Here is a 24,153-nt window from a genome sequence, read left to right on the forward strand (position 1 = left end):
AAAATATTCATCTGTTTGATTTTATTCTCATATTTTAAATTATTTCAATAGATTTTAGGGAACAGGTGGTGTTTGATTTGATGGATAATTTATTTAGTTGTGATTTCTGAAATTTTGGCACACCCATCATCCGAGCAGTGTACACAGCACCCAATGTATAGTCTTTTATCCCTCTTCCCACTCCAACCTTCCCTGAGTCCTGAGAGTCCATTATATTATTCTTATGGCTTTGAATTTTCATAGCTTAGCTCCCACTTATAAGTGAGAACATCCAATGTTTAGTTACCTAATCCTGAATTACTTCACTTAGAATACTGGTCTCCAATTCCATCCAGGTTGCTGTTAATGGCATTATTTTCTTCCTCTTTATGACTGAGTAGTATTCCAAGGTGTGTGTCTGTGTGTATGGGGGGTGTATATTATATATATGTGTGTGTGTGTATATATATATATATACACACACATACATACATATCATATTTTCTTTATCCACCCATTGGTTGATGGGCATTTAGGTTTGTTCCATATTTTTACAGTTGGGAATTGTACTGCTGTAAAGATTTGCATAAGTCTTTGCAAATAATGACTTCTTTTTTTCTGTGTAGATATCCAGTAGTAGGATAGCTGGGTAAAAATGTAGATCTACTTTTAGTTCTTAAGGAATGTCCATACTGTTTTCTATAGTGGTTGTACTAGTTTACATTCCCACCAGTAGTGTAAAAGTGTTCCTTTTTACTACATCCATGCCAATATTGTATTATTTTCTGTTTTTTTTTAATGATGTCCATTCTTACAGGAGGACAGTAGTATTGCATTGTGGTTTTGATTTGCATTTCCATGATAATTAGTGATGTTGAGCATTTTTTTTATGTTTGTTGTCCATTTGTATATTTTCTTTTGAGAATTGTCAATTCATGATCTTAGCCTAATTTTTGATGATATTATTTGTTTTTCTCTCGTCTGTTTGAATTTTCGTAGATTCTGAATATTAGTCCTTTGTCAGGTACATAGTTTGTGAATATTTTCTCCCATTCTGTGAGTTGTCTGTTTATTCAGCTGATTATTTCTTTTGCTGTGCAGAAGCTTTTTAGTTTAATTAAGTCACATCTATTTATCTTTGTTTTTGTTGCACTTCCTTTTGGGTTCTTGCTCATGAAGTCCTTGTTAAGCCAATGTCTAGAAGAGACTTTCTGATGTTCTGTCCTAGAATTTTTATTGTTTCAGGTCTTAGGTTTAATTTTTTCATCCATCTTAAGTAGATTCTTTTTTATAAGTCGAGAGATGTGGATTCAGTACCATTGTACTACAAGTGACTTGTCAATTATCCCAGCACCACTGGTTGAATAGGGTGTCCTTTCTCCACTTTATGTTTTTGTTTGCTTTGTCAAAGATCAGTTGGCAATAAGTATTTGGCTTTATTTCTGGAATCTGGATTCTGTTCCATTGGTCCACATGTCTGTTTTTATGCCTTTGCCATCCTGTTTCAGTAGCTACAGCCTTGTAGTAGTTTGAAGTTGGGTAATGTGATACCTCCAGATTTGTTCTTTTTGCTTAGTCTTGCTTTGGCTATGCAGACTTCAAGCCAAGAATCAAATCAAGAATTCAACCCATTTCACAACAGCTGAATCAAAAAGAAAAAAAATAAAATAAAATACTTAGAAATATATCCAACCAAGAAGGTGAAAGACCTCTACTAAGAAAACTATGAAACCTACAAAATACTGTCAAAAAAAATCATAGATGACACAAACAAATGGAAACATCTCTCATGCTCATGGATGGGTAAAATCAATTTTATGAAAATGACAATACAGCCAAAAGCAATCTATGAGTTCAATGCCATTCTCCTAAACATACCATAATCATTCTTAACAGAACTAGAAAAAACAATCCTAAATTTCATATCGGTTTTATTCTCATTTTGACCTTTAATAGCAAATACAAGTTCTTAATTTTAGTTTGTGATAATATAGGAAATGCATTCTAAAGGGACTTAGTGAATTTTCAATCTTGATGAACATACAGGCACATATACATGTCCATTTCTTTTGAAACAAGACACAGCATCACTTTACAATCTAATAGCTATGTTGGGAAATTCAATGTGTTTATTGAAGACAGTTTGAATTTATAATTATTATTCTACATAACTATACTTTAAATGATCAAGTCTAATTTTTTTTTCTCTTTTCCACAGTCTTTTGATCTTTCCCTCCGATAAATATAATTTGGCAACACTACATTTTTTAGCATAACAAAAATACATCTACAAAGAATACAAAAAGTTTATAAATTTTGTGGAAAATAGCTAAGTCAAGCCATAAACCTCCTTTAATCTGCACATCAGGGAAGCACTTTATGATCAAAGTGGTCCAGATTGACAGAAACCCAGTTGTCTTTGTTAATCAGAAGTCTTATCACTAAACAAGTCTCCCAACAAATATTATTCGGCCTAAGGCATGATTTAAATATATGTCACTATATAAACATGTGTGTATATATACACACATATATATCACTATATATACACACACACATATATGTTATATATATCACTATATATATCACTAAATATGTAGATTTGTATTTGTATACATATATATAAATCATGTCATACACACACACACATGCACTAAAACAATGATGTTAAAGAAATTATAGGAAGTGTGTATAACAGAATATTTTACACAAATCATCCTGGTATTGATACATTTATAAAGGAAAACAGGAATAACAAGGTGGCAAAGGCTAAAAATGTTGTTTTATCATTCTTATAAGCCTGAAATAATTCACAGTAAACCTATTCTACAACACACTTAAAAGGTGGGTATCTATTGTTTAGTGAGTACTACAATCACCAACTAAAAAGGAGAAACATTCCAATATAAAACTTAATGAAAATATGAACAGGCACTTCAAAGTAGAAATTCCCAAAAACATATAAAAGATTATAAAGTAACTGATGCTCAGGAAAATAGAAACAATGCCAATAAATTAATGCTCTAGAGATTTGCAACCTATAAAAACCTGAAAAATCTATTTTTGAGGGAGTATAATGCAAAATAACCTTCTAAAATAAAATGTCAATATACAGTTTGAAACTGAAGTTCTACATCTATAAATCTATCATGCAGAAATCCTTCCATATAAGCACATGTATGAACAGAATATTTCCTCCAGCACTTACTTGGCTCCAGTCAATGAACACACATAGCTCCAACAAATGTGAGTGTAGTCATTGCAGAGAACAGTTTATTCCATTGCTAAATAGAAAAAGTAGTTTCCAGAAAAAAAGGCTTACTTGTACTTGTAATGAAATAAAATAAAATATATGTAAACTTGTACAATGAAAAAAAATCTAGAAGAATACACATAAATATAAGGATGGGAATTTTAGATTTTATTCTACAGAATCCTGCAGTATTTAACTTTTTACAATATTTTCATGTGTTATTTATGAGGTTTAAAAATGAATTTGTGAAATAAACATAAAATCAGTACACGACGTTTGAAAAATTAACATCTCGTTATTAATTCATTAGTGTTATTCAAAAAACTTGAATTGATCATGTTTCTCACATGCTATTTTATTCATTTGCAGCTTTTTTTAGAACCCTTATTCCATGTTTAAAATACCTATGGATACATATAATACAATGTTTAAAAAATTGCAAGAACTGTAGATATCTAAATTCACATAATTTTCATATTTTGTTTTTTTATTATTTTTAATATTTTATGAATCTTACAATAACTTAACAACTTCTACTGTCTTCTTCAAAAGGTTATATTGGTTGTGATTTTTGTGACATGACTATAAATACTTTGACAATTTTCCTGTCAAGTAATATCCCCTCCCTTTGAAGTTTGGCAAACCTTGTAGCTGTCTCAACAGAAACGATATAGTGGAAATAATGCAGCTTATCTTACAAAGTTCTGTTGGAAACACAAAGTGTTCTCTCTCTCTTTCTCCCTCTCTCTTTGGATCTTTTGTTTGTATGTTTCTTTTTCTCTCTACACCTCCTCAACTCCATCTGTAGTCCCCGTAATAAATGACAATTTGGTAGAGAGACACAGATATATGCCCAAGAAATCCTGGTAGCCCACTAGCACTTTGAGCCCTTCAACTTGAATCATTAAGTATGTAAGTGAATGATCTTCAGATAATTATAGACCGAGGCACCGTAGGAAAGTAGCTACCTAAGAAACTCTGTGGAAGGAACACATAATTGAGCTCAACCAACACCCAAACTCTGAGCGATGATAATAAAATGATTACAGTTGTTTTAAGGCCTGACATTTGGAAACAATTTGTCATGCAGTGATATATAACTGGAATAATAAATCTACATATTTTAAATTATACATTTGTAATAAAATTACAATTAATATATAGCTACATGAGTGGAAAATAGGGAATATTATATTTTGAAAATATCTGTACCTCAAATAGAAGACTCAGCATAACATGGTGGTTAAGAGCTGGCACTCTGGATCCAGATGCCCTTCATTCAAGTCTCTGAGAAACCACTACATAATGATGTGGGGTTGGACAAGTTACTTGGACTTTATTTGCTTCAACTTCCTCACCAATGAAATGGCATTGGTGGTCATAGTATTATCAACCTCATGGGGTTGCTGAAAGGATGAATTCATTAATATTTCAAGCACAAAAAACAATTGTATATACAGCAAAGTAAAATTTTTTTGTAACATTGAATGTGGCAAAGTTTTTAGATATGACACCAGGAGCAGGAGCAACCAAAATAAAATTGATAAATTAGGTTTCATCAAATTAAAATTTTTCACACATCAAAGAACACCTTCAATAAAGTCAAAAGAGAAACCAGAGTTTGAAGTATCTATTTGCAAGTTACATACCTGATAAGTGACTTACTTATATAAAAAAAAATAAAGAAAGCTTACAGCTCAATGTTAAAAAGACAAATAACATAATCAAAAAATGTTTAAAAATCTAAACAGGAATTTTACCAGGGAATATGCAAATGTCCAATAAGATCATGAAAAAAATGTTTTATGTTGGATTACATAGTTAAGAGAAATATATAACATCTTCCCAATCACAAGTAACTTTTCCTTTGTGCTCATAGTCAGGGAAATAAATTCTCATGGCTAAACAGAAAAGCTGCCTGGAATAAATACAAGTGATTTAGCAGAGCTGTAACAATATAAAATTAAAGATAAGTAAACAAATAACACTAGTCTTCCTAAGAATCCATACTAGGGATTAAAATATTATAAATGAAGAGTCTGGTTTCCATATTTTTTAACAGTATCTTTCCCACTACTCTGTAAAGATGCTATTTTAATTCTTATTATATATACTAAGTCAAACACACATGAAGGAAGAGAAAGACCCTCTCATATTATTTTATATTGTTTTATCCTCAGTACCTGTTTTAAGAAAAAAACAAATAAGTGAAATCAAAGATAGGCAGCCCGGCGCCAGGCCCAAAACCAGCCCTGGGCCTGCCTGGCCTAAACCTAGTAGTTAAAAATCAACTCATAACTTAGAAACCGATGTTACTCATAGATTCCAGACATTATATAGAAGAACATTGTGAAACTCCCTGCCCTGTTCTGTTTCTCTCTGACCACCGGTGCATGCAGCCCCTGTCAAGTACCGCCTGCTTGCTCAAATCAATCACGACCCTTTCATGTGAAATCTTTAGTGTTGTGAGCCCTTAAAAGGGACAGAAATTGTGCATTTGGGGAGCTTGGATTTTAAGGCAGTAGCTTGCTGATGCTCCCAGCTGAATAAGTCCCTTCTTTCTACAACTCGGTGTCTTGAGTTTTGTCTGCGGCTCCTCCTGTTACATTTCTTGGCTCCCTGACCGGGAAGCAACGTGACTGACAGACAGCTGAGGCAGCCCCTTAGGCAACTTAAGCCTGCCTTGTGGAGTGCCCCTGTGGGGGACTCCAGCCAGCCTGAGTGACATGATCCAAAGAGCCCTCCTGGGTAGGAAATTGCCCCGGTGGAATCCCTCACCAGAGAAGCAGGTAGCAGGCCCTCGCAGAGGATTAACACAGTGGCTGAACACCAGGAAGGAACTGGCACTTGGAGTCCAGACATCTAAAATTTGGTAAGACTAGTCTTTGGAACTTGCCCCACTCCACCTGAGTGGAAGTGTGGCCTGATCACCCACGGTGTGCCTGTATTGGCACCTTTGTTCTGGTTTTGACTCGGCTTGACTTGGTAGGACTAGTCTTTTGAACTTGCCCCACTCCACCTAAGTGGAAGCGTGGCCTGATCAACCCAAGGTGTGCCCTTATTGGCACCTTTGTTCTGGTTTTGACTTGACTTGAATTGCTGGATACTTTGGTTTCGGTTTTTGGCCTGGCTTGAATTTCTGGGTATGCTGATTTTGGTTTTGATTTTGGTTTGGTATAAACTGCAAAAGTGTGTGTGTGCCCTTTTACCTGTTCTTTGTTTTGTGGTGTGTGTGTGGTGTGAGCGTGGTGTTTTGCCTCGAAAAAACATGGATCAGGTGCAAAGTAAGCCCACCCCACTGAGAACTATGTTAAAGAATTTCAAGAAAGGATTTAATGGAGACTATGGAGTCACTATGACTCCAGGAAAACTTAGAGCTTTGTGTGAAATAGACTGGCCAGCATTAGAGGTAGGTTGGACATCAGAAGGAAGCCTGGACAGGTCCCTTGTTTCAAAGGTATGACACAAAGTAACCTGTAAACCAAGGCACCAAGACCAGTTTCCATACATAGACAGTTACAGCTGTCTTTAGACCCCTTCCCCCCCAACAGTAGTTAAGAGAACAGCAGCATAAGCAGCTGGCAGAGGCAAGGAAAGACCAGCAGAGAGAAAAAAAAGGCCATCTATACCAATTCTAAGTTAATTTAGACTAAACAAGGTCTTATTAATAGCAAAGGATAATTGAAATCCCAAACTTACAAGGTTTTCAACAAAAGTGAAGTTTGCTAAAAGTTAACAGTGTAACACATATTATGGTAAATTCTAATCTTGTGGCCTTAGACAGTCTAGTCCAAAGACATCAAAAAAGTTTGCTTAAAAAAAAAGAAATGGTTATCTTCAAAAAAAAAAAAAAAAAAAAAAAGAAGGGGAGGCAAAATTTACGTAAAAAGAGTGTTATATGGTAAATTCTTGTTCTGAAATAAATTGGTTGTTTCAAGAAAAAAATGTTTGTAATAAGTCAAAAAGTTGAGACATGTTGAAGAATTGTCAGTGGAAGTCGTGAAAAAAAGTTATAAAAATTTATGCAAAAAGGTTTTATAATTTAAAAGTAATTTGGCCTCTTGAGTACTATTGAAGAAACAGTTTATGTGCAAAGTGTATAAAAAAGTAAAACATACCTTTGGTAAAAAGATTATAAGGAGGCATAAAAATGTGGATTTTTACCTACATTAAAAGGTTAAAAAAATTATTGTTTTAAAAGTTTAAGCAAGTTTTAAAACATTAATTGTAAAGAAAAGTCTGTGTGTAAACATATTAGCTAAAGTTAAAAAGATATCATCCAGTTTTTCTGCGAACTAGACATAAAAGTAAAAATGCAACAGGTTTTTTTTCTTAAAGCATCAACCTGCTCTTTAACAAAAATTATAAAAGGTTAAAAAGAGTCTATAAAATCTTACCTTATGGTCAAACATGAAAAATTAGATAAATATGTCTTCAAGGTTTTATTAAAATTAAGTTTAATATTAATAGCATACTAATATAAAGGTAAAATTTAGCTTATCTGGTATAAAAATCATACAAGAAGCATTATTAAATATGAAATGGTGTTTAGCTTTCTTTGGTCTAAAAACTAATACAAATTGGTGCTAAAGGAAACATTCATTTTACTAGAAGATCACAGAAGTTAAAGACTTAAAAAAAACTTTGGCAATTAAGACAGCATACCAAGATGCAAATGCCTGGTTGAAATAGATCAAATATTCCATCTGCACGTTAAACAAAAGCAATTGTTATGCTTGTGCACATGGCAGGCCAGAGGCCCTAATTGTCCCCTTTCCACTACAGTGGTCCTCCAGTTGACCAGGCGTAGGCTGCATGGTAACTCTTTTCCAGGATTCTACAGCCTGGAGTAATAAGTCATGCCAAGCTCTCTCTGCTATATCCTGAAGTCCCTGTGGGTCAGCCTCCGAGGGCCATCCAGCTTCCATCTCCCAACACTAAGTTCACTTCGTGTCTCTCACAGCAGGGAGGAGACAGCATTCCTTAGAGACCTGAAAGGATGCAGTGAGCTTAAGAATTTTCGAAAGGTTATCAATCAGTCAGCCGTTGTTCATCCCCGAGCAGATGTGTGGTGGTATTGTGGTGGACCTTTACTAGGTACTCTGCTGAATAAGTAGAGTGGCACTTGTGCTTTAGTCCATTTGGCTATCCCTTTCATCCTGGCATTTCATCAACCAGAGGAAGAAAAGAAAATAATAAGATATCATAAAGCGAGAGAAGCCCCTTATAGGTCTTCCAACTCTCATATCTATTTAGATGCAATTAGAGCCCCGCAAGGAATACCAGATCAATTTAAAGCTTGAAATCAAATAGCTACAGGATTTAAGTCAATATTTTGGTAGATGACAGTGAATAAAAATGTAGATTAGATAAACTACATCTATTACAACCAACAGCAAAGAGCTTTTCATGAGTTAAAAAAAAAAAAACTCATGTCGGCCCCAGCCCTGAGGTTACCTGACCTGACTCTGTGAAGTCTGTGTGTCAGAAAAGAAAAAAATGGCAGTTGGAGTTTTAACTCAGACTGTGGGGCACTGGCCAAGGCCAGTGGCCTATCTCTCAAAACAAAAAGACAGGGTTTCCAAAGGCTGGCCCCCATGTCCAAGGGCCCTGGCAGCAATGGCCCTGTTACCACAAGAAGCAGATAAGCTAACTCTTAGACAAAACCTAAACATAAAGTCTCCCCATGCTGTGGTGATTTTAATAAATACTAAAGGACACCATTAGCTAATAAATGTTACACTAAGTAGATACCAAAGCTTGCTCTGTGAAAATCCCCACATAACCATTGAAGTTTGCAACACCCTAACCCTGCCACCTTACTCCTGGTATCAGAGAGCCTAGTTAAACATAACTGTTTAGAGGTGCTGGACTCAGTTTATTCTAGTAGGCCCAACCTCCGAGACAATCCTTAACCATCAGTAGACTAGGAGTTGTATGTAGATAGGAGCAGCGTCACCAACCCCTGCAAAGTGACTCTGAAGAAGACTACAAGCCCTGCTCCAGTCACACCCAGAAGCTGACTGGTCCACGCACGGCTGAAGCATGAGGAAACTCATCGCAGGACTCATTTTCCTTAAAATTTGGACTTGTACATTAAGGACTTCAGCTGAACTTCCTCAGACTGAGGGCTGTTCCCAGTATATACATCAAGTCACTGAGGTAGGAAAAAAGATTGCTACAGTCCTATTATTTTATAGTTATTATGAATGCCTAGGAACTCCAAAAGGAACTTGTTTGTACAATAACACTCAGTACAAAGTATGTAATCCAGGAAGTGACCAGCCTGATGCGTGTTATGACTCACTGTAAGCCTCCCATGATTAAGGACTGATCCTTTTCTAAGTGACAGAAGTAAAGTAATAGCTAAAAAAAAAAAAAAAAAAAAAAAAAAAAGAAAGGTCCCCAAAAACGTAATCTTAAAATTTGGCACTTGTGCTGCTATTAATAGTAAGCAGCATGAGATAAGATGTGGTTCTCTAAATTGAAAAACTAGTTACACAGTAAAAAAATAAGTATATCTGTCAAGAATCATATTTTTGTGAGATGTGTTAATACTGGTCTTGTGTCATTTAGACTACTTAAAAAAAGATAAAAAGGATCCTGTTTGACTCCAAAAAAAAAAAAAGGTCAGCCCCTCCCCTCCTGCATGAGTAGGAGCTGCAACCTTTTAAAATTGATAATCACAAACCCCTCAGACCCAAAGTAAAATAAAGAAAAATATGTAACATTAGACATTAACAGAAAAAGACTAGATCCTAGTGTAAGCATCCTAATAAAAGAAGAAGTTCAAGAACACTATCCAGAACCAGTATTTCAGACTTTCTATGATGAACTAAATGTGCCAGTACCCGAGATTCCAGGAAAAACTAAAAATTTGTTTTTGCAATTAGCCGAACACATAGCCCAGTCTCTACAAGTCACTTCACGTTATGTTTGTGGAAAAACCGTAACAGGAGATCAATGGCCATGGGAAGCCCCAGAATTAGTTCCTAAAGACCCAGTTCCTGATGAATTCCCAGACCAAAAGAATCACCCTGATCATCTCTAGGTTCTAAAAGTCTCAATTATTAGACAGTATTGCATATCTAAAGAAAGAAAAGGATTCGCTCATCCTGTAAGGCAGCTTAGCTGTCTTAGACAAAAGCTCTATAATAGTACCACAAAAACAGTTACATGGTGGAGTTCCAATTACACAGAAAGAAATCCATTCAGTAAATTTCCAAAGTTGCATACTGTTTAGGCCCACCCAGAATTCTACCAGGACTGGATGGTCCCCACCAGGTTATACTAGATATGTAGACACAGAGCTTATGCTAAGCTGCCTGATCAGTGGAGAGGTAGCTGTGCAATTGGCACCATTAAGCCTTCTTTCTTCTTACTGCCCATAAAAACAGGTAAACTTCTAGGCTTCCCAGTCTATGCTTCCCACAAAAAAGGAAGCACAGCCATAGGTGATTAAAAAGATAATAAATGGCCCCCTGAAAAAATCATACAATACTATGGACCTGCCACTTGGGCACAAGATGGCTCATGAAGATACTAGACCCCCATCTAAATGCTCAACCGAATCATACGGTTACAAGCTGTTTTAGAAATTATTACTAATAAAACCGATCAAGCCTTGACTGTTCTTGCCCGTCAAGAGACTCTGATGAGAAATGCGATCTATCAAAATAGACTAGTTCTCGACTACTTGCTAGCAGCTGAAAGAAAAGTTTGTAGAAAATTTAACCTTACTAATTGTTGTCTACACATAGATGATCAAGGACAAGTAGTTGAGGATATAGTTAAAGACATAACAAAACTGGCACATGTACCCATGCAAGTGTGGCACGGACACAATCTGGAAGCCATGTTTAAAAATTAGTTCCCAGCAATAGGAAGATTTAAAACTCTTATAATAAGAGTAATAATAGTAATTAAGAACCTACTTACCGCTCCTTTGTTTCCTACCTGTACTTCTTCAAATGATAAAAAGCTTCATCGCTACCTTAGTTCACCAAAGTGCTTCAGCACAAGTGTACTATATAAATCACTATCAATCTGTTGCACAAAAAGACATAAGTAACAAAAATAAGAGTGAGAACTCCCGCTAATAAAAAGTGAGAGTCTCAAAAGGGGGGAATGAAGGAAGAGAAAGACCCTCTCATATTATTTTATATTGTTTTATCCTCAGTACCTGTTTTAAGAAAAAAACAAATAAGTGAAATCAAAGACAGGCAGCCCAGCACCATGCCCAAAACCAGCCCTGGGCCTGCCTGGCTTAAACCTAGTAGTTAAAAATCAACTCATGACTTAGAAACTGATGTTATTCATAAATTCCAGACATTGTATAGAAGAACATGGTGAAACTCCCTGCCCTGTTCTGTTTCTCTCTGACCACCAGTGCGTGCAGCCCCTGTCATGCACCACCTGCTTGCTCAAATCAATCATGAACTTTTCATGTGAAATCTTCAGTGTTGTGAGCCCTTAAAAGGGACAGAAATTGTGTATTTGGGGAGCTCAGATTTTAAGGCAGTAGCTTGCTGATGCTCCCAGCTGAATAAAGCCCTTCCTTCTACAACTCGGTGTCTGAGAAGTTTTGCCTGTGGCTTGTCCTGCTACACACACACACACGCACACTTGCATGACTGTGCATTAATAATAGAGGAAATGTATCTTGTGGCACATACCTCCTTCCAAAGGAACTGAGTGATGAGGTTTGTTTAAAAAATTGACACTACTGAAAACAGTATGGAGGTTTCTCAAAATATTTAACGTAAGATTACCATATGATGCAGCAATCCCTCTTCTGGATATTTATCCATAAGAATTAAAATCAGGATCTCAAAGGGATATTTGCACATCCATATTCATAACAGCACTATTACAAAAGCTCAGACCTTGAAACAATCCCAGCATCTATCTGAGCAAAGTGTAGGAACAACCGGGTCCGACTGGTCTAAAATGAAAGGAAAGGTGAATGTGCTGTGTTGTAACTGGCAGGAAATGGGAGGAAAATCCTCAAAACCCACCCCATTGGAATTCATGTTAAAGAACTTTAAGAAAGGCTTTGTGGTGGAGGGGGTGGTGGTTAGGGAGTCAAGTTAACCCACTGAATGCTGAGAGCTCTCTGTGAATTAGAATAGCCCTCTTTTGGTGTTGGCTGGCTGGCCAAATGTACTTATAGATAGGGACACAATTGGCCCTGTGTTTAAGGTGGTGACCGGAGTCAGAGGACAGTCAGGGCATTCAGACCAAATTTCCTTATATTAACTCATGGCTGAATGCAGCCCTGTTTAGCAGCTTATTGCAGAATGCTCGCAGTTCAAGCCGAGAGTAATCAGCTGTGCTGGCAGCTACAAAGACAAAGTGAAAACAGAGTTAAAGGGAAAGTCACAGGAGCTTGTAGCCTGAGCTGAGCTGAAAGTGAAATCTTCTCTGGCAAACACAGAGACAAAAAGAAAGCCACAGGAAAACCCAGTTTTGCAAGAACCACTGGAGGGAAGAGACCCTTCCTCCATATGCTCCAATCTACCCACCTTTACCCAGAGTTACTGCCTCTGAGGAGTCAAGCTCAAAGGGATACATGCCCCAGTCTCACCTGAGATGGAAAAATCTGAGCCCTCACTCCAGGAAGTTAAGGTGAAATGCTAGGAAAATAAAGCAAACTTGTCTCCAGTCAGGTCATGTTTGGGCTATGCAAATGCCTTTCTGGGAAACAAGAGGACCCCGACTAGGACCCAAATGAGGCAGCCCAACTACAGCAGCTGCCCAGATACCAAAAGGCACTCCTGCAAAGTTTAAGGGAAGGCGGGAGAAAGGCAATCAATATAGGGAAAAATCTCATAGGTGCTTCAGGGTGCATATGAAAGCCCCAGCCAGTTTTATAAAAGACTTAGTGAGGCCAGCACATGCTGAACACGGCATTTGTAGAGCAGGCCCAGGGGGATATCAGGCAAAAATTGCAGAAAATGGAAGGTTTTGCAGGCATGAATGCTATTCAGTTTATTGAAGTGGCCACAAGTTGTACATTAACGGAGATCAGGAGGCAAAGACAGAGGCTAATCAAAGGCTTAAGAAAAAGGCTGATTGGCTGGCAGCAGCTCTCACAGGGAGGGAAGCTGGCTTTGCAAGGTGGCGTGATGTGGGCATGGAAGTGGGCATGGAAGAAGCCAGTATGGACAGGGATTTGAGAGCAGGCCCAGGTTGGAAAGAGATCAGTGTGCACAGTGCAAAAGACAAGGACACTGGAAGGATGAGTGTCCAGAGAATAATAATAAGGAGAAGGGTCAGGGCCATCGTACAGGAAGGCCACCAGCCAGGGGCTGCCACACCCAGGAGAAACCAGGCACTGATCTGATCAGACTGGCAGGGGCTGAAGGATATGAGGACTAGGACAGACCAGGCTGCTTCTCTTTGGGCCCTGAGAAGCCCATGGCCAGATTGGAAGTTAGAGGCCAGCTAATGGACTTTATGGTAGACACCAGAGCTAAACACTCAGTAGTGACCCAACCTATAGGGCCACTATCCAAGAACTGTGCAACTATTGTGGGAGCCACTGGAGTCTCTGAAAAGAGGCCCATCGGTTGGTCAAAGAGGTGTGTTATAGGAGGATGAGAAGTCCAACCTGAATTCTCATCCCAAATGGTTCTGTTCCTTTGCTGGGAAGAGACCTACTTCAAAAACTGCAGGTACAGATTACATTTGGGCCACAAGGGAATGTAACTTTAAATCTACCTCACCCGGAGGCTATGATGTTAACCCGTACTGTACCATAGGCTGAAGAATAGAGGCTATATGCAAAAAAGACTCTGGAACCAAGAGTAAATGAAATGCCTGGGTTGCTTACTAAAATTCCCAGAGTTTGGGCTGATAGTAACCCACCTGGACTGGCTGTAAGTCAGGCACCAGTGGTGGTAGAGTTAAAATCCAGTTCAGGTCCAACAGTACCTGCTACTCCCTGAGGCCATACTGGGTGTCCGCAAATATTTAGAGTCTTCATAAACATGGAATCATAGTCAAATGCCAGTCACCATGGAACACCCCTCTCTTGCCAGTGCGGAAGCCGTCTGGTGAATATAGACCAGTACAGAATTTGTGTGTGGAAAACTAGGCCACGGTGACCATCCACCCAGTGGTGCCAAACCCATATACTTTAATGGGACATATTCCAGCAAGTGCCACTTGATTTACAGTCCTAGATTTAAAGGATACATTTTTCCGTCTCTGGCTTGCACCAATTAATGAGCCTATTTTTGCTTTTCAATGGGGTAAATCACAGTACACTTGGACAAGACTCCCACAAGGATTTAAAAACTCTCCTACAATCTTTGAAGAGGCACAGGCCTCAGACCTTAAAGCATACACCCCACCAAACAGTGACTGTGTCTTGCTCCAGTACATTGATGATCTTCTTCTAGCAGCCCCGACCTGAGAGGACTGCTTCGAGGGGACCCAAGACCTCCTGCACTTGCTATGGAAGGCAGGATATAAAGTGTCAGGGAACAAGTCTCAAATCTGCTCTGAAAGTGACCAGTATTTAGGCTTCTATATAAGCCAAAGGAAAAGATGGCTTGGTAGTGAACAGAAGCAGACCATTTGTACACTTCCTACTCCAACCACCCGGTGACAAGAGAGTTCCTAGGGCCAGCAGGGTCCTGCTGCATCTGGATCCCAAATTTCTCGCTCATGGCTAAGCCATTATATGAAGCCACAAAGAGGGGAAAAAGGAGCTCCTCCTCTGGGAGGCTGACCAGGAGAAGGCCTTTAAGGAAATCAAAGAAGCCTTGACTCAGGCCCCAACTTTAGGACTGCCAGATCTAACTAAGCCTTTCTTTTTATATGTCCATGAGCAAAAGGGAATGGCCGTAAGAGTTCTAACTCAAGCCATAGGATTGTGGCATCACCCGGTGGCATACCTATCCAGGCAATTGAATTCTGTGGCACCTGGATGGAGTCTTTGTTTTAAGACACTAGCTATCACTGCTCGGCTGGCACAGGAAGCTAATAAGCTGACTTTAGGACAGCAAGTGACAATCCAGCTACTGCACTCAGTTATAACTTTGATGGACCAAAGGGGGCACCATTGGTTTTCGAATCCGAGAATAACTCAATACCAAGGGCTCCTATGTGATAATCCCTGTGTAACTTTAGAGACTGTGAGTACCCTAAACCCAGCTACCTTGCTCCCCATTGAATCAGTGCCAGGAAGCCCCCTTCATTGCTGAGTGGATGTGGTAGATGAAGTGTTCTCAAGCCAGAGAGATCTGACAGATCGGCCCCTCGGAGACCTGGACATTGAATATTTTACTGATGGGAGCAGCTTCATACTAGAGGGAGTCCACCAAACTGGGTATGCAGTGGTGACTTTGGACTCAGCAGTAGAGGCACAGTCTTTGTCTACAGGAACTGCCTCTCAGAAAGCAAAGCTGATAGGTCTTATAAGAGCTCTCTGGCTAGCAAAAGACCAGAAGGCAAATATTTACACAGACTCTAAATATGCTTTTGCCACTTTGCATGTTCATGGGGCTATTTACAAAGAAAAAAGACTCTTAACTCCTGGAGGTAAAGAAATAAAGTGTAATGAAGAAATTCTACGGCTCCTGGATGTGGTATGGGCCCCCAAACAGGTAGCAGTAATGCACTGTAGGCAAAAGGCAGGAACATTAGAGGCTAAAGGAAACAGAAAGGCAGACAAAGAGGCAAAGCAAGCTGCAATGGCAACTCCACCTTCTATTCTAAAGAAGAAGCCTTAGCTATGCCTCTCCTCCTGGAGATTCCCCTTCCAGGGACCCCAAGCTACACTCCAAATAAAAGGGCTTGATTTGCCCAGGAAAATGGGAATTACGTTGAAGGAAGATGGTGGAAATTCTCCAATGGGAGGCTAGCCATACCTGAAATCTTGGCCCCCAGATTTGCAAAACAGTTCCAAGGAACTCACATGAGAAAAACGGTGCTAGAGACATGATTAGGGTGTCATTTCTATGTGCAATGGCTCACCGCTATTACTTGAGCCATTTGTAAACAGCGTTTAACTTGTGCCCAAAACAACCCCTGAAAAGGGCCCACTCAGCCCCCGGGAATTCAGGAAAAAGGAGCTATGCCCTGTGAAAACCTGCTTATGGACTTCTCCGAATTGCCCCAAGCAGGGGTCTATAGGTACATTTTGGTGCTTGTCTGTACCTTTTCAGGATGGGTCATGGCCTTCTCCGTCAGGACAGAGAAGGCATGAGAGTTGATGAAGGTATTGTTAAGAGACATTATTCCCAGATTTGGACTGCCCCTAACTTTGGGTTCAGATAATGGACTGGCATTTGTGGCTGAAATCGTTCAGGACTTAACTCGACTGTTAAAAATAAAATGGAAGTTGCATCCAGTCTACCAGCCTCAGTGCTCAGTAAAGATGGAGCACATGAACCAGATACTCAAGCAGCTGCTGAAGAAATTTTGTCAGGAAACTCATCTGAGGTGGGACCAGGTCTTGCCCATGGTCTTTCTCCAAGTCAGGTGCACCCCCACAAAACAAACCACACTGGGTATTTGCCCAATGAGATTTTGTTCAGCCAGCCACCCCCAATCATAAGTCAGATTAAAGGTAATCTCCGTGAGCTACAAAAACTAACTTTAAGAAGGCAAATGCAGGCTTTAGATATGGCCATGCAAAAAGTATATGGCTAAGCGCAGGAAAGAATGCCTATAAGTCTGGCAGACCCAGTACACCCTTTCAAACCTGAAGACTTTGTTTAGGTTAAGAAATAGACTCCAACTATTCTGAGCCCCATATGGGACGGGCCCCATATTGTGATCTTGTCCACTCCCACTGTTGTTAAAATTGCAGGTATCGTGCCTTGGATCCACCACAGTCAGCTGAAATTATCAGCCCAGGACCAGTGGACCAACCAGCAGGACATAGACCATCTGACCCGAATGATCCTGCAATGAGACCACATTGCCAGTGGAGATGACAACAGCACTGCTCTGGTCACTCTGGAAGATGACCAGTCTATGCATGGTGGAAGCTTGAGAAAATAGCAAGCCCTGCTCTAGTCACACCAAGAACTGACTAGTCTATGCACGGCCGAAGCTTGAAGAATCGTCATCAGATGAATAAATGTGGCCAGAAATCTTAGGCCCAGTAATCTTCTTTGTATTATTCATTATATTGCTCTTGTGCTATTGTTTAACCAACCCCCTAAATGCCTTTACTGTTCATGCTGGCTGTAAGAATGCTACTGTTTGCTTTGTTTGTGCTGATCCCCATATCTATGCTAGAAGGAGGACCCGTATTAGGATGCCGTCACTGCATGCACACTACATGGATAAGAAACACAGTAATTGCTCACGCCTGTAATCCCAGCACTTTGGGAGGCCGAGGCGGGCGGATCACGAGGTCAGGAGATCGAGACCATCCCGGCTAAAACGGTGAAACCCCGTCTCTACTAAAAATACAAAAAATTAGCCGGGCGTAGTGGCGGGCGCCTGTAGTCCCAGCTACTTGGGAGGCTGAGGCAGGAGAATGGCGTGAACCCGGAAGGCGGAGCTTGCAGTGAGCCGAGATCGTGCCACTGTACTCCAGCCTGGGCGACAGAGCGAGACTCCGTCTCAAAAAAAAAAAAAAAAAAAAAGAAACACAGTAATTAAGACTTTATTATACCATACATACTATAGGTACCTGGGCACAAGATAGGTCAGGGGGTACTGTACCCCTATTTACATGCTTAATCACATCATAAGGTTGCAGGTGGTACTTGAAATCATCACTAATGAGACAGCAAATATGTTAGACTTGCTGGCCCAGCAAGCCACAGAAATAAGGATCACCATCTATTAGAATAGACTGGCTTCAGACTGCCTCCTAGCCCAAAAAGAAGGATTATGTGGAAAGTTGAGCCTGATGAATTGCTGCCTAGAAATTAATGATAACAGGAAAGCCATCATAGAAATAGCTGCCAGGATGTGGAAGATAGCTCATGTCCCAGTTCAGACCTGGAACCCAGATGGTCTCCAGATTCCCTCTTAGGAGGTTGGTTTTCATCCTTTGGTGGTTTTAAAACAGTAGGGGTAGTGTTGGCTATATTAAAAGGTTGCTTAATGTTCCCTTGCCTCTTAGGCCTCCTCATCAGAAACATCCAATCAATCACAGAATCCATCGTTAACAGAACCACCTCCACTCCACTGATGGCTCTAAACAAGTATCAACCCGTACCAAACAGAGAAGAACTGACTTGTAATGAGGAATTAAATGATAGTGATGCCTTCTATTGAATTCCATTTACAGGAGGCATCAAAGGGGAAGATGAGATGGGAAAGAAAGAAAGAAAGAAAGAAAGAAAGAAAGAAAGAAAGAAAGAAAGAAAGAAAGAAAGAAAGAAAGAAAGAAAGAGAAAGAAAGAAAGAAAAAGAAAGAAAGAAAGAAAGAAAGAAAAACAAAATTAAAAAGAGAAATAAGCTTTCCTGTATTAGGCTAACTTGTCCCAGACGCAGCAACGGGTGCAGCCCAGACCCAGGGAAAGTCCTGATACTACTGTCTAAAAAGCCAGGAGATGCACCAAAAAAATGTGGTCTGTAGACCCTCCCAAAACTCCTTCAACATAGGGAGAAGAAAAACAAATTTTCCTTTGTTTTATGGTATGACTTTATAGATTCTTGTTCTCTGTAACTAGTAACTTCAAGTATTCTGTTTTGTCTAAAAGGTACTGCGAAGGTCATGAGACGCCTGAGAAGGCCTGAACTACAGCTGTCTGGGCACCTAGTGAAGGTTATAAGGCAAACCAGTGCAAGGCTCTTTTGAGCAAAACCTAGATAACAGACATCTAGGTTGCAAAGCAACAGTCATGTGTAATCCCGAGTTATGAACTATCACAATTTGATTAATTGTTCTCCCTCTGTATCTCTGCTTTCATGCCACTGTAAGCCTACATCAAGTTAGCCCACCCCTTTTGGAAAGTGTGTATGAAAGTCAAGTGCTGTCTTTGTTGGGGCCCAATCTCTGGATGTTAAGTCAGCTGAGTCTGAGTGCACTCAATAAAGATATCCTCCTGTATACACCCCAAGGTCTCTCTCTGGTACTCCTGATTCCTGCAAAAAGATGTCAATTTATAAACAATATACAGGACAGATGATAAAACAGCACAAAGAGTGTTGCTGATTGGTAATATTTTGCCGTTAACGTTGTGATTAGAAAAAAATACATAATTAGGAGGTGCAATATGGCATTTTGGTATTATTATGATAGTGGTGGCAGGTAACAGATATCACCAAATTCTGCCCTGCCATTCAATTCTATTATTTACAGGATTCCTAAGTGCACTGTACACACTACAAATGTTATCAGAAAGGAGTTATACTTTATGAGTTACTTCACTAGCACAATAAGTAGGTATCGAAAAAAAAATTGAAATGTATCATGGAGTTTAGGCTTTCCATGTAATCTGGGGCTCTTTACTTACCCTAATTTTGAAATAGGTCTATTCAGTGTATTTTTCAGAGGGCTATTTAGAAAAAAGGAAGCCCAAACTCACCCACCCTCAGTCTAGGTACCCACTTAGCCATGTAGATTTAGAGAAATAGAAAAACCAAACTGCCTTGGTGGACTGGATTTGGCCAATATCTGATAGGAAGATGTAATATAAAGAAGGGGGATCAAATCCTGCCCTTAAGGTAGACAGAATCTGTCAAGGCTTTAGAGTGTACCATCAAAGAGTTAACAGCCAACAGAACAAAATTTAGCATCATCACAATTTTGGAAGTTTTTCAACAGCCCTATGATTTATAAACTGTCAATCACTATTTTTACATATAAATCATTTCCAGTGGTAGTAAATGTGCTAATATTCTCGATATATGTGAAAAATATCACTTAAAATTTTTTCTTGGAAGAAGCACTTAATAATTTGTAAATCAGAAACAAATTATATGTACTTTCTAAGTAGATTAGTGTATTTCTCATACATAGATGATGGCATAGATTTGCTTTTTTAGTAAATTGTCAGATATCAGACTCTAACTTATGGAACAAATGAATATAAGTAAACTCACTCCCATTTGATTGTTTTGTAAATGAAAAATGTAATATTAAATTTGTGAGATGAATGTGTATGTAGTAAATACATTAATAAAAATGTGTAGATCATTAGTAATTTTTTAATCTTCTTTATACTAGAATTATGTCTGCCTAACAATTACTTAAATATTTGAACTTTTAATTTATTATCACAATTTTCTAAGTCACTATGTATGAAACATCATGATTGTATTTAACTTGACAATATAAAAATTAGTCAAGAAAATATAGTTGTTCCATTTACTTCAGTCTTCTAATAGTTCTCATTACTTAACTTGTCCTCATTTCCTTATTAGCCATAGGGAAGGCATTTGACTAGGTGATCTCAATGTTTTTAGAATTCTAACAGATATGCTATCATTTCAATTTCACTCATAGAACAAGGTACATACTTTTTTAAAACTTTTAAGTTCAGGCGTACATGTTCCGGTTTGTTGCATATGTAAACTTGTGTCATGGGGGTTTGTTTTACAGATTATTTCATCACACAGGTGTTAAGCCTAATACCCATTAGTGATTTTTTCTTCTCCTCCCTCCACCCTCTAAAAAGCCTCAGTGTGTGTTGTTGCCCTCTATGTGTCCACGTGTTCTCATCATTAGGCTCCCTTGTCTATATAGTTCTATGGAAATTTGATGACAGGAAATCAGATACCTTAGTACCAATATTCACCTATATAGTGGGTAGTCCAGAATGACCTTCTCGGTAAGACTCTGAGGATCAAATATTGAAAACTTTGGTAACAGCATATGAGGATGAAAATGGTTCAACAGAAAACACACTGTTGAAATAATAAGTGATTCACCATTTATTATTTAAAAAGTCAAAAATAAAATCTAACTTCTTTACATTTATCTTCCAGTCCTAGGGAAAATATAATAAACTAAAAGAGGTTGACATTTTATTATACATAGTCACATTCTTTATGGCCAGAAACAAACTATCTTTATTTCAAGTGTAGTTACCTTTCACAAAATTTTTTTTCAATAATTTTCTGGGTTGTCTGTCTCCTAATTCAATCATTACACCTACCCTTCCTCCTAATGTATAGATGTTGCAAATGCAACTGAAAAATGACAGCTCATTTTCATGATGATCTCCTGCATTTTCTATGGGAGTAAATCCTCGGTCTTTATCATGGAGTGTTGGTAACACATTTCATGATGGAGTGTGGCCTGTCCTTCCTCTATTCAAGCACCATCACCACCCCACTCCCTGCTGCCTTGGATACTATGCCTTATCATACTCAGTGACTTCACCATTTCTCTAAGAGAACAAGTTCTGGCATGCATCCTGCTTCTTTTGTGGGGGAGGGTGGTAATGGGAAATGGGTGACACACAACTATCTTTATCCACAGTGTTCTCTATTTGTCCACATGACAATATTGTATTAATTCTTCAAGTCTCAAGACACATACCACATCTTAATGTGTAGCCTTCACTTATTGCCCCAGAGGACTTGGTGCATCTTCCTCTGTGATCTGAAACCAATTTTAATGCAGTTTTACTGTTGCAATAATTTGTTATCTAGAGAACACTGCCTGTTTCATTGCCTCATATTGTGCATTGCTCATTTTATTTCTAAGACTTACAATGCATAATTTTTCAAAAAATCATCTATTCTTAGGTCATCCACAAACCAAAGCTTTTATAACTCATGATGGATCCAATGGAATGTATGAGAGAATCTATCATGGAATCCCTAGGGTGGGGCTTCCTTTATTGCAGATCAACGTGACAACTTTGCTCACATGAAGGCTAAGGGGGAAGCTGTTAGATTGGACTCAAAAACAACATAAATTACAGATTTGCTCAATGCATTAAAGGCAGTCATTAATGGCCCTACACAAATGTAAATTTTTTAACCTCATAGCATGTGTTCATACTTTCTCACATGAAGGCCAAGGGAGCAGCAGTGACTCTGAATATGAACACAGTGCTGAGTACATATATTTTTTGTAACACTTAAAGGCCATGATCAATACACCATTGTGTTGCAATGTGTTTTTTTCGTTTGTTTTAATGGAAACATTTGTCAGAGGTTTTAGGATAGTGCATAAGTTCTAAAATAGCCAAAAAGTAAAATAAGAGGAATTACTAAAGATGGTAACAGAAGGATTATAAGAAAGATTGAGGCCAAAGTTGAAGCAGAAAACCATAAATATTATTACAGTACTGACTAATTTTCAGCACACTTATGTTGTCTTTCAGAATGAGAACTCATCAAATGTTCATTTTTAAACATTTTTTGTCTATATTGAAGGTATACAAAGTGATATTATGGAATACAAATACATATTTAAAAGGTTACCATAATAAAACAAATAAACATATTCATGATCTCATATTAGTTATTCATTTCTTTTGTTTTTAAAGCTTTCCTAAGATGATTTATTTTCAGTAATCAGCATGACAATCAATCTCTAATTCCCATTATATTTAATGTTCTCCAGATTTTTACACTACATTTTGATCCCATCACTGATAATTTGTAAACAGCTAGAGCTTTCAAATTTGCCTTCAAAAATTATTGAAAAGAGGAGATATTAGTATAAATGTAGCCATTTATTTGTTCTTACAGTGGTGGTTGATTTGCTTATTTTGAAGAATTATAAAATCAAAAAATAATTGACTTGAAAGATATAAGTTGGAATATTTCTGTTTAATAACCAAAATGTATTAAACCAGAAATATGTAGTTTAAAAATTATTTTAGTGCATACATTAATTTCAGTTATGCTATTACTATTATATTAGTAATAGCAATAATTTTTAATAAGCATAATGCTGGTATTGAAAAATGAAGATAACTTTTAATTAGTTGATACATATTGAATGTGTATGACACACATTGTCTTGGTTATTTGTGTTATGTAACCCAATTGTATGAAAAAATATATCAGAATTAGTGCCCTCTTCTGAAAAACACAGTTCTCCAACTGTGTTTTTTTAAATAACAAGGGGAGAAGTTACCTCCATTGCTATTGCTACAGTGCCATACTTTAGCACTTTTTGGTTTTGACTTGGTAAGCGAGATACTTATATGCATCCTTATTCTTTGTCTATTAGTCCATAATTATTTCAAAACTAGAAACAAATGGAACTACAATGCCTCAAAGTAAAATACTGAAAGCCACTTAGATTCTAAAATCACAATACAAGAAAAATAGTAATAACAGTGAACATTTACTGACAATCACTTTATGACAAGAATAATTCTACCAAGTATTCTAAGAATCATTACATTACTACTCACAAAAATCAGGCAAGAAAGATACGATTCTTAGTCATTCAATTTAACAATAAAAAAACTTGGAACAGATACTTTAAAAAAAAAAAAAAAGGACCGGTAGATATCAGGTTAGGATTCAAACTAAGGCCATCCACTTTCATACTTTTAACCATGAATCCATTGATGTAATGTTAATACCAACTCTTGGTCAGCGCCAACTTCTTATGAGCTTTGCCCTGACATGTACCTGACCTTGTCAGATTTGTCTGCTATCTCTAGACTTTGATATTATTTTGAAACTTGTATGCCAGGTCCATTAAATTTTTTTTTCCCTGGATAATTCAATCTCTGTACTCTCAATTGATTTTTTTTAACCCTTTGGACTTATCTGATTTCAATTTCTAGGCTACAAACACTTGTTCTCTCTTAAATTATCTCTTCACATCTTGAAATCTTATGCATGAAACAAATTCTAGCCCATAAAACAAAATCTCTATAACCACTATGAAATAAAATATTTTATTTTTCATCCACTTTTATGTGGCACTCATTTTTAACATCTACACAAAAATTTCACATATTTATCTTTTCTGGTTCATTATATAAGTTGATGTCTATTTGATTTTCCTTTAGCTGTAAAAAAAA

At 37.9% G+C, this 24,153-nt stretch overlaps 1 protein-coding gene and 1 long non-coding RNA gene across 5 annotated transcripts in view, besides 2 other annotated features; one reads left to right on the top strand and one right to left on the bottom strand.

The window, feature by feature from the left end:
* Positions 1-71: 71 nt before the first annotated feature.
* Positions 72-15,757, bottom strand: LOC105377265 (uncharacterized). 4 transcript variants are annotated; one of them, XR_001741714.2, is made up of 5 exons: positions 12,819-15,757; positions 11,171-11,278; positions 4,445-4,638; positions 3,188-3,263; positions 72-1,621 (listed from the first exon to the last, which is right to left on the bottom strand). It is a non-coding gene; the product is annotated as an uncharacterized LOC105377265 (long non-coding RNA). The 4 variants fall into 4 exon arrangements; XR_938854.2 differs by lacking the exon at positions 12,819-15,757 and having other exon boundaries at positions 11,189-11,485; XR_938852.2 differs by lacking the exon at positions 12,819-15,757 and having other exon boundaries at positions 4,445-4,530; positions 11,171-11,485.
* The window catches only part of UGT2B7 (UDP glucuronosyltransferase family 2 member B7), a 61,613-nt gene continuing 43,336 nt past the window's right edge, over positions 5,877-24,153 (top strand). Inside the window, exon 1 of the mRNA NM_001349568.2 lies at positions 5,877-6,104. The gene's annotated coding sequence lies outside the window, so the exon portion shown is untranslated. The remainder of the gene's footprint in view (positions 6,105-24,153) is intronic.
* Positions 9,000-9,200: a silencer, noted in NCBI's record as "peak5046 fragment used in MPRA reporter construct". NCBI's record gives its function as "represses an SCP1 promoter by STARR-seq MPRAs in K562 erythroleukemia cells {active_cell/tissue: K562}" and the evidence as "EXISTENCE:reporter gene assay evidence [ECO:0000049][PMID:32103011]".
* Positions 9,549-9,598: a silencer, noted in NCBI's record as "silent region_15466". NCBI's record gives its function as "represses an Ori minimal core promoter by ATAC-STARR-seq in GM12878 lymphoblastoid cells {active_cell/tissue: GM12878}" and the evidence as "EXISTENCE:reporter gene assay evidence [ECO:0000049][PMID:35858748]".

This window comes from Homo sapiens, chromosome 4 (assembly GCF_000001405.40).
Source record: "Homo sapiens chromosome 4, GRCh38.p14 Primary Assembly".
In the NCBI taxonomy this organism is placed as follows: Eukaryota; Metazoa; Chordata; class Mammalia; order Primates; family Hominidae; genus Homo; species Homo sapiens.